At 35.7% G+C, this 18,857-nt stretch overlaps 1 long non-coding RNA gene across 4 annotated transcripts in view; it reads left to right on the top strand.

Annotated features, from left to right (window-relative positions):
* The first annotated feature begins 6,917 nt into the window (after positions 1–6,917).
* The window catches only part of LINC02476 (long intergenic non-protein coding RNA 2476), a 287,946-nt gene continuing 276,006 nt past the window's right edge, over positions 6,918–18,857 (top strand). For all 4 annotated transcript variants that reach the window (NR_131960.1, NR_131962.1, NR_131961.1 and 1 more), the window contains exon 1: positions 6,918–7,000. This is a non-coding gene — a long non-coding RNA (long intergenic non-protein coding RNA 2476). The remainder of the gene's footprint in view (positions 7,001–18,857) is intronic.

The raw sequence follows: 18,857 nt of genomic DNA, 5'->3' as shown, positions 1-18,857 counted from the left end.
GTATATGTGCTAAATTTTCTGTCTAGTTGATCTGTCTAATATTGACAGTGGGGTGTTAAAACCTCCCACTATTATTGTGTGGGAGTATAAGTCTCTTTGTAGGTCTCTAAGAACTTGCTTTATGAATCTGAGTGCTCTTGTATTGGGTGCCTATATATTTAGGATAGTTAGCTCTTCTTGCTGGATTGATCCCTTTACCATTATGTATTGCTCTTTTTTGTCTTTTTTGATCTTTGTTGGTTGAAAGTCTGAAAAAACCTCAATTTTTAACAATAAGAAGATAACTTATTACCCATTAAATCTAAACTGTATAGAGACATGGAAAAGTATATATAAATTTAAAACAAAGAACAGAAAATTGTAGTTGTAATATTATAAGTTTTTTAAAATGTAAAAGTGCATATGAATTAAAAAGCAGTAAGTTAAAAAAATACCAGCATAGAAGATTTAAATTCAAACATATCAATACTTAGAGATAGTAAATGGTTTAAACACTCAGATTAAAAGGCAGGGACTGTCAGTTTGGATTAAAAGAATTTTAAAAACAACAATAAAAGATGCACAGCCATATCCTGTCTACAAATAAAGTATCTTTTTTTTTCCCTGTAGAAAGTGCCAACCAGTTTTAAAGTAAAAGAATGGAAAATATTATACCATGCTAATTGTAATTGAAATAAAAGTTTGGCTACATACAAGGTAAATTCGCGATCAAGAAATGGAGATAACAAAGCTCATTTTGGCTGGGCGTGGTGGCTCACGCCTGTAATCTCAGCACTTTGGGAGGCCAAGGCCGGCAGATAATGAGGTCAGGAGTTCAAGACCAGCCTGGCCAACGTAGTGAAACCTCTTCTCTATTAAAAATACAGAAAATTAGCCAGTTGTAGTGGTGGGTGCCTGTAATCCCAGGTACTCAGGAGGCTGAGGCAGGAGAATTGCTTGACTCTGGGAGGCGGAGGTTGCAGTGAGCTGAGATCACACCATTGCACTCCAGCCTGGGGACAGTGCGAGAGTCTGTCTAAAAAAAAAAAAAAAGAAAGCTCTTTTCATAGTGACATAGGGGTCAATTTACTAAGTGAATATGCAATTATAACAATTGATGCATCTAATCATGAAGTTTCAAACCATATGAAGAAAAAGTGAATCAAAAGGAAGGATAGGATACAAAGGAACTCCCAAATTTATAGTTGTGTGGGTTTCAGCACCCCCTTTCAATAATTAATAGAGCAAGTACATATAAAAATTAAGGATATAAAAGATTTGAAAGAATTATATTAAAAAGTGGACTCTAGATGCTCCTGGACTTATGATGGGGTTATGTCTTGATTAATCCATCACAAATGAAAAATATTGTAAGTGAAAAATGCATTTAATACATCCTAGCTATATAACATCATAGCCAACTGTATCATAAATATGCTCAGAAAAATTACGTCAGCTTACAGTTGGGCGAGATTATCTAACAAAAAGACTATTTATAATAAAATGTTGACTGTCTCATGTAATTTATTGAATGTTGCACTGAAGTTTGGTTTCTGCTGATGGATTTCACTTTCACACTGTCATAAAGTCAAAAAGTTGTAAGTCGAACCATTCTAAGTCTGGGGTCATCTGTAAAAGATCTTTAGAAAATACTCATCCAACCACAGCCGAATATTTATTACTTTTCAAGTGCATACAAAGCATTAACCAAAATAGATCATAATCTGGATGATAAAATAGATGATAATAATTATAGAAGTTTTTATATTATTACAAATGTGTTTCTTGGCTATGATTAAATTATAAATCTAGAAGAGAAAGAGATAAGACATCTCCTAAACATTTTGAAAGAAGCCAACATCTTTGTGTATAGCCCATGGGTTATAGAAGAAATAAAATGAAAAATAAAGCATTATGAACTAAAGAATAAAATAAAAACAGGATATATTAAATTATGTGAGATGCATGATAGTGCTTAGAAGAAAACTTATAGTGCTGAAATACTTACATTTAAAAGGAAAAAAAATTACATCAATGGTTTAAGTTTTCCCCAAAGAAAATGCAAATAGAGTAGTAAAATAAATCAAGAGGAGTATATAAAAATGGTAAGAAAAACAAAGGTCAATATCATTGACAATGAAATTTAATAAAATCAATAAAATTAAAAGTTATTTCTTAATAAGTTAAATAAAAATGAAAACTTCTTTCCAGGCCAATCAAGATAAAAATGGAAGTCAAAGATTATGATTATCATGAATACAAGAGCAGGCATCAGTACATGTTTTATATATATATATATATATACACACACACACACACACACACACACATATATACACACACATTTATATATATTACATATATATAATTGCCTTGAATTTTTAAAATGTCTGCTCTTAAAAAGGGAATGTTAAGATAATTAAAACACTGAACATATATTTGGATAAAACATTTCAAAAAATATGTTTGATAAAGTATTTACATCTAGAATATATACAGAATTTTCAAGCTTGATTATATAAACACAAATTATCAAAAAACATAGGCAAAGCATTCAATCATTCAATTTACTAAGAAAGTATCAAGATAAAGAAATAAGAAAAAGCAGCCTAATTTACAATGGTTACAAAAAATTAAAAAATGCCTGGGAATAAATGTAAATAAATAGGTGAAAGAGCTCTACAATGAAAACTACAAAACATTAATGAAAAAAATTGAAGGAACAAAAGAAGACATCAAATTCTCATGGATTAGAAGAATTACCATTGTTCAAATGACCATATTACTTAAAGTAGTCTAAAGATTCAATGTAATCCCTATAAAATATCAATGGCAGTCTTCACAGAAATAGAAAAAAAAATCCTAACATTTGTATAGAACTACAAAAGACCCTAATCAGCCAAAGCAATCTTGAGGGGGAAAAAGAAGCTGCAGATATTACACTACCTAACTTCAAAATATACTACAGAGGTATAGTAACCAAAACAACATGGTACTGGCATTAAAACAGACAAATAGACCATTGAAACACAATGGAGAACCCAGAAACAAATTCATATATTTACAGCCAATTGTTTTTTGTCAAAGTTGCTAAGAACATGCAATGGAGAAAGACACCCCCTTCAATAAACGGTGCTAGGAAAACTGGATATTTATATGCAAATAAATGAAACTAGATACCTATTTACCATCATACACAAGAATCAACCCAAAATGGATTCAAAACTTAAAAGTAATAACCCAAACTATAAAACTCCCAGAAGAAACTAGGAGAAATACTTCCAAAAGTCAATCTAGGTAAAAATGTTATAGCCAAGACTTCAAAAATCACAGGGGATTTTGAAGTCTTGGCTATAGATATATAGATATAGATAAATATAGATAAATGGGACTATATTAAATGAAAATGCTTCTGCCCAGAAAGGGACATAATCAACAGAGTGAAGAGATAACATTTGGATTCGGAGAAAATATTTGCAAACTATTTATCTGTGAAGACTCATATGCAAGATATAAAAGAAACTCAAGCAACTCAATACCAAAAAAAAAAAAAAAGAAATAAAAATACAAACAACCCCATTAAAAAATGGGCAAAGGACATGAACACTTTTCAAAAGAAGACACATGTGTGGCCAACAATCATATGAATAAAACCTCAAAATCACTGATCATTAGAGAAACGCAAATCAAAACAACAATGAGATACTGTCTCACACTACTCAGAATGGCTATCATTAAAAAGTCAAAAAACAACAGATGCTTGAGAGGTTGCGGAAGAAAAAGAATGCTTGTGTACTGTTGATGGGAGTATAAATTAGTTCAACCATTGAGAAAGACAGTGCGGCAATTCCTCAAAGACCTAAAGAAAGAAATACCATTCAACCCAGCAATCCCATTACTGGGTAAATACCCAGAGGAATATAAATCATTCTATTATAAAGACACATGCATGCATATATTCATTGCAGCCCTATTCACTATAGCAAAGACACGGAATCAACCTAAATGCCTATCGGTGATAGAATTGATAAAGAAACTGTGGTACATATATATCATGGACTACTATGCAGCCATAAAAATGAAGGCGATCATGTCCTTTGTGGAGACATGGTTGGAGCTGGAGGCCATTATCCTTAACAAATTAATGCAGCAATAGAAAACCAAATACTGCATGTCTCACTTATAAGTGGGAGTTAAATGATGAGAACACACAGACACAGAGAGAGGAACAACACCACTGGGGTCTTTGGAGGGTGGAGAGTGCGAGCAGGGAGAGGATCAGGAAAAGTAACTAATGGGTACTAGGCTGAATACCTGGGCGATGAAATAATCTGTACAACAAACTCACATGACACAAGTTAACCTATGTAACAAATCAGCATATGTACTCCTGAACTTAAAAGTGCAAAAAGTCATAAGAAATCATAAAAAATAAACCAGAAACTCCCAAACAAATAATCTAATAAAAAAGTGGGCAAAGAGTGAAATGTCTGAAGAGATATTTCTCAAGAGAAGACATACAAATGGCCAAAATATATCTGAAAAAATATTTGTCATCAATAATCATCAAGGAAATGCAAATCAAAACCTCAATGAAATAGCTCACCTCAGGTAAAATGGCTATTATAAAGAAGACAGAAAATAACTAATTCTGGCAATGGTGCAGAGAAAAGGGAGCTCACATTGTACATGGGAATGTAGATTAGTACAGCCATATAAAAAAACGTGTGAAGATTTCTCAAAAAATTAACAATAGAGCTACCATATGATCTAGCAATCCCACTACTGGATATTTATCCAGAGAAAAAGAAATCAGTATGTCAAATGGTCATCTGTAACCCCATATTTAATATAGTACTATTCACAATAGCTAAGATATGGGATTAACCCAAATTTCCATCAACAGATAAATGAATAATGTGTATATATAATATAAGAAACATATACATATATATGACAAAGAAATACACACACACACATTGATATGGTTTGGCTGTGTCCCCATCCCATTCTCAACTTGAATTGTATCTCCCAGAATTCCCACATGTTGTGGGAGGTACTCAGTGGGAGGTAATTGAATCATGGGGGCCAGTCTTTCCCGTGCTATTTTTGCAATAGTGAATGTCACATGAGATATGATGGGTTTATCAGGGGTTTTCACTTTTCTTCCTCATTTTCTGTTTCTGCTGTCATGGTTCTGAGGCCTCCCTAGCAATGTAGAACTGTAAGTCCAATTAAACTTCTTTTTCTTCCCAATCTTGAGTATGTCTTTATCAGCAACGTAAATACAGACCAGTACTGCAAATTGGTACCAGTAGAGTGGGACACTGCCGAAAAGATACCCAAAAATTTGGAAGTGACGTTGGAACTGGGTAACAGGCAGAGGTTGAAACAGTTTGGAGGGCTCAGAAGAAGACAGGAAAATGTGGGAAAGGTTGGAACTTCCTACATAATTATTGAATGGCTTTGCCCAAAAGTCTGATAGTGATATGGACAATAAGGTCCAGGCTGAGGTGGTCTCAGATGGAGGTGAGGAACTTATTGAGAATTGGAGCCAAGGTGACTCTTGTTATGTTTAAGCAAAGAGACTGGCAGCATTTTGCCCATGCCCTAGAGATTTGTGGAACTTTGAACTTGAGAGAGATGATTTAGGGTATCTGGCAGAAGCATTCTGCCAGATTTAGGGTATCTTGCAGAGGCAACAAAGCATTCAAGAGGTGACTTGGGTACTGTTAAAGATACTCAGTTTTATAAGGGAAGCAGAGCATAAAAGTTTGGAAAATTTGCAGCCTATTTGATAGAAAAGAAAAACCCATTTTCTGAGGAGAAATTTAAGCTGGCTTCAGAAATTTGTATAAGCAGCAAGGAGCCAAATGTGAATGAATTCCCAAGACCATGGGGAAAATGTCTCCAGGCCACGTCAGAGACCTTCATGGAAGCCCCTCCTGTAACAGGCCCAGAGGCCCAGGAGAAAAAAGTAATTTTGTGGGCCAGGCTCAGGGTCCCCATGCTGTGTGCAGCCTGAGGACTAGATGCCCTGTGTCCCAGCTGCTCCAGCACTGGCTGAAAAGGGCCAATGTCCAGCTCAGGCTGGCTTCAGAGGGTGGAAGCTGCCAAGCCTTGGCAGCTTCCACATGGTGTTGATCCTGAGGGTGCACAGAAGTCAAGAATTAAGGTTTGGGAATTTCTGCCTAGATTTCAGCAGATGTATGGAAATGCCTAGATTCCCAGGCAAAAGTTTGCTGCAGGGGCGGGGCGCTCATAGAGAACCTCTTCTAGGGCAATGTGAAAGGAAATGTGGGGTTGGATACCCCACGTAGAGTCCCTACTGCAGCACTGCCTAGTGGAGCTGTGAGAAGAGGACTACCGTCCTTCAGATCCCAGAATGGTAGATTCCCCGATAGCTTGCACTTTGCACCTGGAAAAGCTGCAGACACTCAAAGCCAGCCGTTAAAGCAGCCAGGAGGGAGACTGTACCCTGCAGAGCCACAGGGGCGGAGCTGCCCAAGACCGTGGGAACCCACCTCTTGCATCAGCGTGACCTGAATGTGAGACCTGGAGAAAAAGGAGATAATTTTGGAGCTTTAAAATTTGACTGCCCCACTGGATTTTGGACTTGCATGGGCCCTGTAACCCCTTTTTTGGGGCCAATTTCTCCCATTTGAAATGGCTGTTGTGTCTAGGAAGTAACTAGCTTGTTTTTGATTTTACAGGCTCATAGGTAGAAGGGACTTGCATCGTCTCAGAGACTTTGGACTTCAGGCTTTTGGGTTAATGCAGAAATGAGTTAAGACTTAACGGTGATTGTTGGGAAGGCAGTACCCCAGGGAGAGGTAATTGAATCATGAGGGCCGGTCTTTCCTGTGCTGTTCTCCTGATAGTGAATAAGTCTCGCGAGATCTGATGGGTTTATCAGGGGTTTCCGCTATTGTTTCGTCCTCATTTTCTCTTGCTGCTACCATGGAAGAAGCGACTTTCGCCTCCCGCCGTGATTCTGAGGCCTTTCCAGCCATGTCAAACTGTAAGTCAAGTTAAACCTCTTTTCCTTCCCAGTCTCAAGTACGTCTTTATTAGCAGCGTGAATATGGACTAATACACACACACACACACACACACACACACACACACACACACATCTGAGGCACAGAAAGAGAATAGCACATATTTTCACTAAAAATTAAAAAAAACAAACTTCAGCTCATGAAAGTACAGAGTAAGCCGGGCGCGGTGGCTCACGCCTGTAATCCCAGCACTTTGGGAGGCCGAGGCGGGCAGATCATGAGGTCAGGAGATCAAGACCATCCTGGCTAACACGGTGAAACCCCGTCTCTACTAAAAATACAAAAAATTAGCCGGGCGCGGTGGTGGGCGCCTGTAGTCCCAGCTACTCCGGAGGAGTATGGCGTGAACCTGGGCGGCAGAGCTTGCAGTGAGCTGAGATAGCGCCACTGCAGTCCGGCCTGGGCGAAAGAGCGACACTCCGTCTCAAAAAAAAAAAAAACAAAACAAAAAGAAAGTACAGAGTAAAATTGTGGGTTTTAGTAGCTGGGGAGGGTAGAGGGAGGGAAGAATGGGGAGAAGTTGTTTAACAGGTATCAAGTGTTAGGGGATTAGAAAGAAAGTAGTTCAGTTGTACTGCATCCCTGTAGGGTGAATATAGTTGACTACAATTTGTTGTTATGTTCTTAAAACTTAAAGGAGAGAATTTTAAATGTTCACAACACAAAGAAATAACCAAGGTTTGAGGTGATGGATATGCTAATTACCCTGATTTGATCAGTACACGTTGTACACAAAAATATCACCCTGTGTTCCATAAATGTGTACAATTAATACATATCAAGTAAAAATAAAAGGAAAGAAAACGTGCTCAACATCCTTAGTCCTTAAGGACATGTACGTTAAATCACAATTAGATACCACTGCATAGCTACTGGAATGGAAAACGAACAAAACAAGCAAATACCTGGAAATACAAATGCTAGTGAAGATGTGAATTAAATATTCATACACGATTGATGGGGATGCAAACTGATGCAGCCTCTTTAAAATGCATTTTGGAAGTTTGTTACCAAGTGAAACATATACTTATCACCTGAACCATCAATTCCACAACAAGCTGTTTATGGAAGATAATTGAAAACATATGTTTACCCAAAAACTTCTATGTAAATGTTTGCGTGTGTTTGTGTGTGTTTGATAAATATGGAAAAGAAAAAAATTAATGAACAAGAAACAAATAAATTTCAGACATGAATTTTGCATGAAGAAAGGGGTTGACAACAATGGGATATCGAGAAATTTTTTTTGCGATAGAAGGTTCTATATCTTTATTATTGCTTGGTGTACACGACTCTATATGCTTGTGAAAACTCATAGAACTGTACATTACATTAGGTGAATTTTATGTAAATTAAACCTCAAGGTTATTTTACATAAAAAATAAGTCTCAATTTTCCAAACATACGTTTCCCAAAGGTTTTTCTTTAACCTAGAAAACATACAAGTATACGTTTATATAATATGATAATTATGACATAAGATTTAGTAATTATTTTAGGGTTTACAGTATGTCTTAATGATCATATTCAATGTTCAGATAATATTGCATCACTTCATACATCGGATAAGTATACAACCATACGTGTCCCTCTCCCTTTACCTGGTATTTGCTTTTTGCCATACATTTCCCTTCTACATATGGTCACATATCTCTTGGGTAGATATCTGAAAATGATATGGTTGAGCTACAGTGCACATACATGTTTACCTTTTTGAGAAACTTCCAAATTCTTTTCCAAATGAACTGTACCATGTTACATTCTCATGACAGGTATGTGTAAATTCTAATTGCTCCAAATACTCACCAAAATGTGATATGGTCAGTGTTGTTGTTATTTAATTTGAGCTTTCTAGTCAATATGTGACCATTATGGAATATTCTGCATTTTTCCTAATCAATATTAATGTTCAGCACCTTCTTATATTGATTTTGCCATCAAAGATAGACTATTAGGAATAACAGTGAATTTGGCATCATCATACATGCAACACTGGTATAAAAATTTGCATTCTATGTACCAACAAAAGCACAAAGAATGAAAGACAAACTACGACAGATTTCATGTCTAATTATTAAATATAAACAAATCATTTATAAGAAAACAAATGAATGCTACTTCATAACTAAGACAGTTAAATATATCTTAAACAGAATTTTAATAGTGCTATTGATAATAAAGATGTGTTGAAATAAATTAATATTAAGAACTGCTTTTCATCAAATAATAGAAATAAAAGCATAAAGTACAAACCATATGAGAGATGTTTTCATAGTGTATCTAACATATAACTACTATATTTAGTATATTTTTAAAACTCCCACAAATCAGAAAGTCAGAGAAAACACAAAAGAAACATTTGCTAAGTATACGATCTTTTAAAAGCTTTTCGCATAAAATCATATTCAAGTGGCTGAATAACATGAAAAGTCACTCTATATAGACATCAAAGAAATGCAAATTAAAACTTCATTTGCTAGCACTACACACCCACCAGCCTGACTAAATTAAAAAATAGACAATAAATTCAAATGTTTTGATGATGTATACAAATTTAAATTCTCATACATTGCTGGTGAGATCATAAATTCTTCAAATAACTGTTGGCCAGTATCTAGTAAAGATGGACATGTGCACACTTTATAGTCTGGAAATTAAAATCCAGGTATATACTCAAAGAAATTTCCAAAGTAAAAATTGAAAAATCTGGTAAAATATCAAATCTTCATAGCAACATAATATGTTAATATCAACAATATATTAGACAAATTATGGCACATCTGTCTAGAATATAATGATATATAACAAATGGAATGGAAAATTCACTATGTGCAGCAATAGAATTGAATTTCATAAACATAATAATAAGTAAAAGAAGCCAGACATGAAACTACATTTTATGATCCCCTTTATATGAAGAGTACAATCAGGTAAACTAATCTATGTTAGAAATCAGAATAGTGATTATCCTAGTGGCTGGTGGTGAGAGAGGGAGGTACTCAAAAAGGAGGCACTTGAGGGATAGTAACATTCTTTTCTTAATCATGGGATGATTACATGGGTATGTTCAATATGAAAAATTCATTTTCTTCTTCTCCTCTTCCACTGTCTTTATCTTCTGTTAGCTAAAATGCAATGTAGTGTGCTGTGTACAAGGACATGCAATTTGGATTTCTAAAAGAGTATTTGGATCTTAGGCATGTTATCTAGGGGTGGATTAGTTGGGCTGTAGATGGACTCTTTGCTAATCCCTTGGGATATCAGCTGTGACTGTCTTTTGATGTAATTTAGTTCCTTTGCAGAACCATGGCTTTGATTAGTGACTCAACATCCACATGTGAATATTTGAGTGAGGGGAATCATTTTAAAGCTCTCAATTATTCATTGATAGCTCATTGTTCAGCTATCTAGGATTAAATTTCTTTCTTTGTCAAATGTGCTATTCCAGGTAGTACATTAAAAAGTAGTTCCATTATAAACCAATCAAAATTATACCAGACTCTGTGCATGTGAAGTACTGTACTAAGACTTTTAGTTATTTATTGAATAAGTAAATATCTGGTATAAAAGTCATTTATCATCACTACATTTTAAAATTATTGAATTTTTTGAACAAAGTATTATAGGCAATTAAAAAATTACAGAAATCCAGAGAAGCAAGATAAATTCTGTGGCCTCTATTACATGGAAATCTCTCTTGAAACTCTGTTTCATACTGGATTTGCAGAAATGTATACATTTCAGTATCATCCTTTATTACTCTCTGAAGTGCTCCTAGAAATTGATTGATTTTGAGCATCTAATAAATTTAATAAATAAAAAATATTGAGAGAAATACTGCTGTGGTAAGGAAATTTCCTATCTATATACCCATTAACTTGAGTTATGGAGTAATGGACTTTAGTTGAGTTCAAAGGCAAATCAATGTCATGCAGAATGGGGTAATAAAATTGTGCCCCATAAAGTTCTTGAATATCAGCCAAATCACAAAATATTTGGCAGAATTCCTAGAGTTTTCTTACAGAATATTGCTTCAGGATGTTTTAAAATGCTCATAAGCACATTTAATGTACATGTTGCCAGTAAACTAGGGAGCTATAATAGTGTTTCCTTATTCTGATAGACGCTAATCGCTGTATACTCTAGTAGTTCAAAATGTTTAAATCAGAAAATAAGTGGAATTTTTTAGAAAACTAAATTATTTATATCAAGATAATTCACTAATTTCTTATATTAATGGAATAGAAAGTACTCGGGTCTAGAGTATATGTATAGAAAGGGAAAATAAGGGGTTGAATCACTACTGAGGGACTAGAGAATGTCTAAATACTTCTGTCAGGCAGAAGACCACATATAGTTCTTATGGTCTGGTCTGAGAAGTTTGAATAGGATGTGGGAGTTATCCAGAGCAGTGAGTAGACTGAGACTGAAAAGAAGAGACAATTGAAAATTCAATGGGAGGACGTAAGTTGTTAAACTAAAGAGAAGGATTAAAGTGAAATGAAACCTTGGAGCATGTGAGATAGATATTTAGGCCTTGTGTCCAAATTTCAGAAGTATATAAGGCAGTAAGATACATATGAATAGAAGACTCTCAATGGCATATAAATTAAGGATATTAAACAAAAACTAAATAATTTTGGACAGGACGAGGACAGGTGTTTCTTAGCTATATGTGAGTTTTTCAGATAACTCTTTGATAAATAATTGGAAGTTAATATAAGAAGCATATATTGCTTATTTTCTATTCATATTTAGTGAATCATCTACTTTTCTATTAATGAGTAGTATGGGAGAAGCTATAATTAAAGAAACGTTCACTGTCTTCATGAAATGCGAAAGATAAGCTTTCTGACAAAGAGCCACAAATGTCATTATTGTGATGGCTCCAGTGCCCAGAACATACATATCTGTCAAGTGACACAGTGCTCACCCTTTATGAATGGTGCTCTTATAAAATATACTTCAATCAGAATATGATATATGTTGCCTTAATACAACTACTCTAGAAAGGATTACATGTCAGTATTTAATAACGGTGTTTTGGTTTTTTATAGTGGAAATGCATTATTTCTGTTTTCACAACTTTGCAGTTTCTTGTGAGGAAAGGATTATTTTTGTGTGCAGAGCGATTTTGATATTAGTAAAAAGTTGCCAGATGGGTGAGTCAATATGAAAAAGCTGGAGAAATAGATGAAGCTTCTTTAGTAAATGCTTAATTATTTATTGAACTCAGGACTATAACTCATCTCCACCATGAAAATGAACTGAGATATTGCCTCCTTAAAAATATCAAAATAAAGTATATGTTTTGAAAGAAAAAATAAGAAAATTTGCTTTTACCATTACAGGAAGATGTTTAGCCCTAGAAAATATTTTCAGAAATTATCAAGATAGACGTGGTTGATCTCAACTAAATTTCTAGTTAAGGGAAAGGTAACAGCTGAATAGAAGCCCTTACTTATTGTCCCCCAACCCCAAACAGGAACATCAAAGTTGATATCTAGACAAAAAAGCAATTTCATAAGAATAAAAAATCAAGTGAGCAATCACAGTCCTGGTTTTAACTTCATATCACTGAGAGAAGCACTGAAGACATTAGGAAAGACAGTCTTGAGTTGCTGACACTACCCCTTCTCCATGTTCTGGCAGTGGATGTGTGGCATGAAGAGGGAATCTCAGCTTTTCAGGGAGGAAGTGAGCAATGCCTGTGGGAATATGCATTGAACTCAGTGCTACCCTATCATAGTAGAAGGCAAAACCAGATGAATTCAGCTGACACCCACCCACAGAAGGAGTGTGTAGACTACCCCAAGCCAAAGGGGAATCACCCATCCCAGTGGTTTTTTATTCCAGAAAGCCTTGTTACCATAGGCTAAAGGGCTTTGGGGTTCTAAATAAACTTAAAAGGCAGTCTAAATCACAAGGACTGCAATTCCTAGGCAAGTTCTAGTGCTGTGCTGGGCTCAGAGCCAGTGGACATAGAGGACACATGACCTCGTGAAATGCCAGTCAGGGAGGCTAAGGGAGTGCTTGCACCGCCCCTCCACCCAGCCCCAGGCAACACAGCTTGTAGCACTGAAAAAAATGACTTATCTTCTGCTTGAGTAGAGGCGCGGGAAGAGTAAAGAGAGCTTTGTCTTGCATCTTGGATACCCGCTTAGCCACAGTAAGAGAAAGCACTAGGCAGAGTCTTGAGGCCCTTGTTCCAGGCCCTAGTTTCTGGATGACATTTCTAGACATACTGTGGGCCAGAAGGGAACTCGCTGTCTTGAAGGAAAAATCCAGTACTACAGACACGATTTATTACCTGCTGACTAAAGAGCCCTCAGGCTAAGGTGAGAGAACTCCATCTGCTTGAGAAAAGCAGAGAGAAAAGTAAAGAGGATTTTTTGCATCTTAGGTACCACCTTGGCCACAGCAGGGTAGAGCACCAAATGTGTTCTTGGGGCACTTAATTCCAGGCCTTGTCTCTTGAATGGCATTTCTGGACCTACACTGGGCCAGAGGGGATCCCACTTCCCTGAACGGGGAGACTCAAGCCTGGCAGCATTCACCATAAGCTGACTTAAATGCCCTTGGGCATTAAGGAAACATCAGGGGTAGCCTGGCAGTACTCTCTATAGTCCTGCTGTTGTGGCAGTCATGGGGGAGGCTCCTCTGCCTTTGGAAAGGGGATAGAAGAGTGGGAGGAACTTTTTCTTGTGATTTGAGTGTCAGCTTAGCCACAGTAGTATAAAGCACCATATGAATTTCTAAGACTTTTGACACCAGGCCCTTGCTCCAGCACAGCATCTCTGGAACTGCCTAGGGCCTGGGGAAACTTGCCACCTCTAAGGGAAGAACACAAGCCTGGCTGGCTTCACCACATGCTGACTGCAGAGCTTGAGGGCCTTGAGTATACATAGATGGCAGCCAGGGAGTGATTACAGTGGGCCTTGAGTGAGCCCAACTGCTGTGCTAGCTTCAGGTCTGACCCAACACATTACCAGTGGTAGTGGTTAAAGGGGTGCTTGTCTTACCGTACCCCCTGCTCTAGGTGGCTCAGCAGATAGAGAGTGAGAGAAAGACTCTTTTTGTTTGGGAGAAAATAAGGGAAGGGAATAAGAGTATCTGCCTGGTAAACCAGAGAATTATTTTGAATCTTACTCAATATCACAAAGGCAATACCTCTGTTAGTCCACAAAAACAACAGTGTTACTGGGCTTGAGGTACCGTCTAATGAAGATAAGGCATAGATCCTGATATATGGTTTGGTTCTGTTTCCCCACCAAAATCTCCTATTGAATTGTAGTTCCCAGTGTGGAGAAGGGGCCTAGTGGGAGGTGATCGCTATTTTTGTGATAGAGATCTGATGAGATCTGGTTGACTGAAAGTGTGTAGCACCTCCCCCATCTCTCTCTTTTTCTCCTGCAACAGTCATGTAGGATGTACTGGCTTCCCCTTCCACAATGATTGTAAATTTCCTAAGGCCTACCCAGCCATGCTTTCTGTACAGCTTGTGGAACTGTAAGTCAATTAAATCTCTTTTCTTCAAGAATTGCCCAGTGTCGGATATGTCTTTATACCAGTGTGAGAATGGACTAATACAGATTACACCCAAATCCCTTTGAATGCATGGGAAGCCTTTCTAAGAAAGAAGGGTACAAATAAGCCCAATCTGCAGAAACTATAGTCAATACCTAACTCTTAAATGCTCAGACAACGACAAACACCCACCAGCATCAAGAAAATCAGGAAAACATGATCTCACCAAATGAAATACATAAGGAAACAGGGACCAATTCTGGAGATAAAAAGATATACAACCTTTCAGACAGAGAATTCAAAATAGCTGTGTTGAGAAATTACAATGAAACTCAAGATAACACAGAGATGGAATTCAGAATCCTATCACATAAATTTTTAAATGAGATTAAAGTAATTAAACAGAAATTAGCAGAAATTTTAAAGTTGAAAAATGCAGTTGACAATACTGAAGAATGCATCAAAGTCTTTCAGTAGCAGAATGGATCAAGCGGAAAAAGACTTAGTGAGCTTGAAAACAGCCTGTTTGAAAATACATAGTCCAGGAGAAAAAAGAAAAAAAAATAAAACACACCTACAGGATCTCAAAAATAGCATGGGAAAGGACAAATCTAGCAGTTATTGGCCTTAAAGAGGAGGTAGCGAGAGAGACAGGGGCAGAAAGTTTATTCAAAGCTTTCTTTAACATTCTTTCATTTTGACCTTGGAAAATCTGATGATTATGTATCTTGGGGATAACCTTGTGTAGAGTCTGGCAGGAGTTCTCTGTATTTCCTGAATTTTACTGTTGGCCTCTCTAGCAAGGTTGGGGAAGTTTTCATAGACAATACTTTAAAATATGTTTTTCAAGTTGTTTGCTTTCTCCCCCTCCCTTTCAGGGATGCCAATGATTTGTAGGGTTGATCTCTATAAAATTCCATACTTCTTGGAGGTTTTGTTCATTCCTTTTTATTCTTATTTTCTTTAAATTCAAAATTTCTTTATTTTTGACTGACTGTTTTATTTCAAAGAGCCAGTCTTCAAGTTCTGAGATTCTTTCCCCAGTTTGATCTGTTCTATTGTTAAAACTTGTAATTGCATTGTGGAATTCTTGTGTTGTTCAGCTCTGTCAGCTCTGTAAGGTTCTTTTATACTGACTATTTTGTCCTTCAGCTCCTATACTGCTTTTTTGTAATTTTCAGTTTCCTTGGATTCATTTTTTTTTTACCTTCCTGAATTTTGATTATTTTTTTTTCTATCCATATTCTAAATTCTATTTCTGTCATTCCAGCCAGCTCAGCCTGGTTAAGAACTCTTGTTGGAAAACTGGTATGGTAATTTAGAAGACATGACACTCTGGACATTTGAGTTACCAGAGTTCTTTTGTTTGTTCTTTCTCATCTTTGCATGTGGGTGTTGCTGTAACTGATGAAGAAAACGTGGTACATATACACCATAGAATATACTATGCAGTCATAAAAAAGAATAAGATCATGTCCTTTGTGGGAACATGGATGAAGCTGGAGGCTACTATTCTTAGCAAACTTACACAGGAAAAGAAAACCAAATATTGTATGTTCTTACTTATAAATTGAAGCTAAATGATGAGAACCTATGAACACAAAAAAGGAAATAACAGATACTGGGGTCTTCTTGATGGAGGAGGCTGGGAAGGGGGAGAGAAGAAGAATAAATAACTATTGGCTACTGGGCTTAATACCTGGGTGATGAAATAATTTGTAGAACAACATGAATTTACCTATGTAACAAAATCTCACATGTACCCCCAAACCTAAAATAAAAGTTAAAAAAAGAGAGAAAAAACATTGATTAAAGAACTTAAAGAAGACACCAAAAATGGAAAACTATTCCATGTTCATGGATTGAAAAAAATCAATATTGTTAAAATGTCTGAACTACCCAAAGCAGTGTACAGATTCAATGCAATCTCTATCAAAATACCAACATTCTTCACAGAAATTAAACTATCCTAAAATGTGTATGGGGTACAAAAGTACCAGAAGAGCCCTAGCTATCCTGAGCAAAAAGAACAAAACTGGAGGAATCACATTACCTGACTTCAAATTATAGTACAGAGCTATAGTAACCAAAACAGCATGGTACTGACATAAAAACAGACACACCAACTAAAGGAACAGAATAGAGAACCAAGAAACAAATTCATACATCTACAGTAAACTCTTTCTTTTACAAAGATGCCATAAACATATATTGGAGAAGGAACAGTTTTTTTCAATAAATAGTGCTGGGAAAACTAGATGTTCATATGTGGTAGAATGAAACCTAGACTCCTCTCTTTTGCCATATACAAAAATCAAATAAAAATGGATTAAGAACTTAGATCTAAGACCTAAAATTATGAAACTACTAAACAGAAACATTGGCAAAACTCTCTAGGACACTGGATTTTGCTAAGGTTTCTTGGTAATATCCCCTGTAGCACAGGCAACAAGCAAAAATTGACACACGGGATCATATGAACTTAAAAACTTTCTGGAAAACAAAGGAAACTATCCACAAAGTGAAGAGACAACTCATAGAATGGGAGGAAATATTTGCAAACTACCTATCTGACAAGGGATCAATAAGCACAACATATAAGAAGCTCAAACAATTCAATAGCAAAAAATCTAATAATCCAATTATAAAAAGGGCAAAGGACCTGAGTATACATTTCTCAAAAGAAGACATGCAAATGGCAAACAGATATATGAAACGGTGCTCAATATCATTGATCATCAGAGAAATACAAATAAAAACTACAATGAGATATCATCTTACAACAGTTAAAATGGCATATATCCAAAAGACAGGCAACAACAAATGGTAGCAAGGATGTGGAGAAAGTGAAAACCTTGTACACTGTTGGTGGAAATGTAAATTACTGCATCCACTATGGAGAACAGTATAGAGGTTTTTCAAAAAGCTAAAAATAGAGCTACCATACTATCCAGCTATCCCACTGCTAGGTATATATCCAAAAGAAAGTAAATCAGCATATTGAAGATATATCTGTACTACTATGTTTATTGAAACACTTCACAATAGCCAAGATTTGAAAGCAACTTGTGTTCAGCAGAATAGATAAAGAAAATGTGGTACTTATAAACAATAGAGTACTATTCAGCCATAAAAACAGATCCATTCATATGCAATAGCATGTATGTAACTGGAGGTCATTAGGTTAAGGGAAATAATCCAGGCACAGAAAGACAAACTTCATATGTTCTTGCTTATTTGTGGGAGCCAAAAAAAATAAAACAGTTAATCTCATGGAGATAGACAGTAGAATGATAGTTACCAGAGGTTGGGAAGGGTAGTACAAGAATGGGAGAGAAGTGGGTATGGTTAATGGGCATAAACAATATAATTAGAAAGAATAAAAAAAAAACCTAGTATTTGATAGCAAAACAGTGTGACTGTAGTCAATAATTACATAGTATATTTTAACATAACTGTTTAAAACTTGATAGATTATAACACAAAGGATTAATACTTGAGGTGATAGATACCCCATTTACCATGATGTGATTACTAGGCATTGCATGTGTGTATCAATATGTCTCTTGTACTGTACCGCATGAATATATGCACCTACTGTGTGTCCAGAAAATTAAAAATTAAAAGCTAAATGGAATTTTTAAAAAATAATAAAAATATTACAATTCTACTTAAAGCCATATCAAAATAATCTAAAAAGAAAAATACTATTAAATTAAGCTTTAATAATTGCTTAATGAATCTTGTAGTTATACCTAACAAAGTAGGAGATGTGGATCAAGATCAGTCTAGAACTCTGTTAGTTCCCTTTCGTGTTGTACAGGAAAGAATAATAAAAATATTTACAAGGGAATTTTCTGTGTCCAGACACTCCTTTTAAACCAAATATATACAAATCTTCCAAATAGCCTATATCCACCAATATAAAAAATGAATTCATTTCTTATAGAAGTAATTTTAATTACAAATAAAAAAATAACTTTACACTGGAGAAACCTAGGAGTCCTTACCTTGTCATCAATTTGATCAAAGTTAGCATTACCATACATGAGACAAATAGACTATAAACCCAGATATGATGCACTAAGAAGAACACAGATTTACTTTTGTAGTATTCCTGCCCAAAATACAAAACTTTTCACCTTAAAGATCCATAATACTAAAATACACTACACCATTGATAATAATTAATAATTATTAATTAATTAATAATTGATAATAAATAACCTACTCTACACCATTAATAGTCCCCTTATATGATTTGGCTCTGTGTCCCACCCAAATCTCACC

The sequence above is a fragment of the Homo sapiens genome, chromosome 7 (genome assembly GCF_000001405.40).
Source record: "Homo sapiens chromosome 7, GRCh38.p14 Primary Assembly".
In the NCBI taxonomy this organism is placed as follows: domain Eukaryota; kingdom Metazoa; phylum Chordata; class Mammalia; order Primates; family Hominidae; genus Homo; species Homo sapiens.
This window is presented reverse-complemented; position numbering and strand designations above follow the sequence as displayed.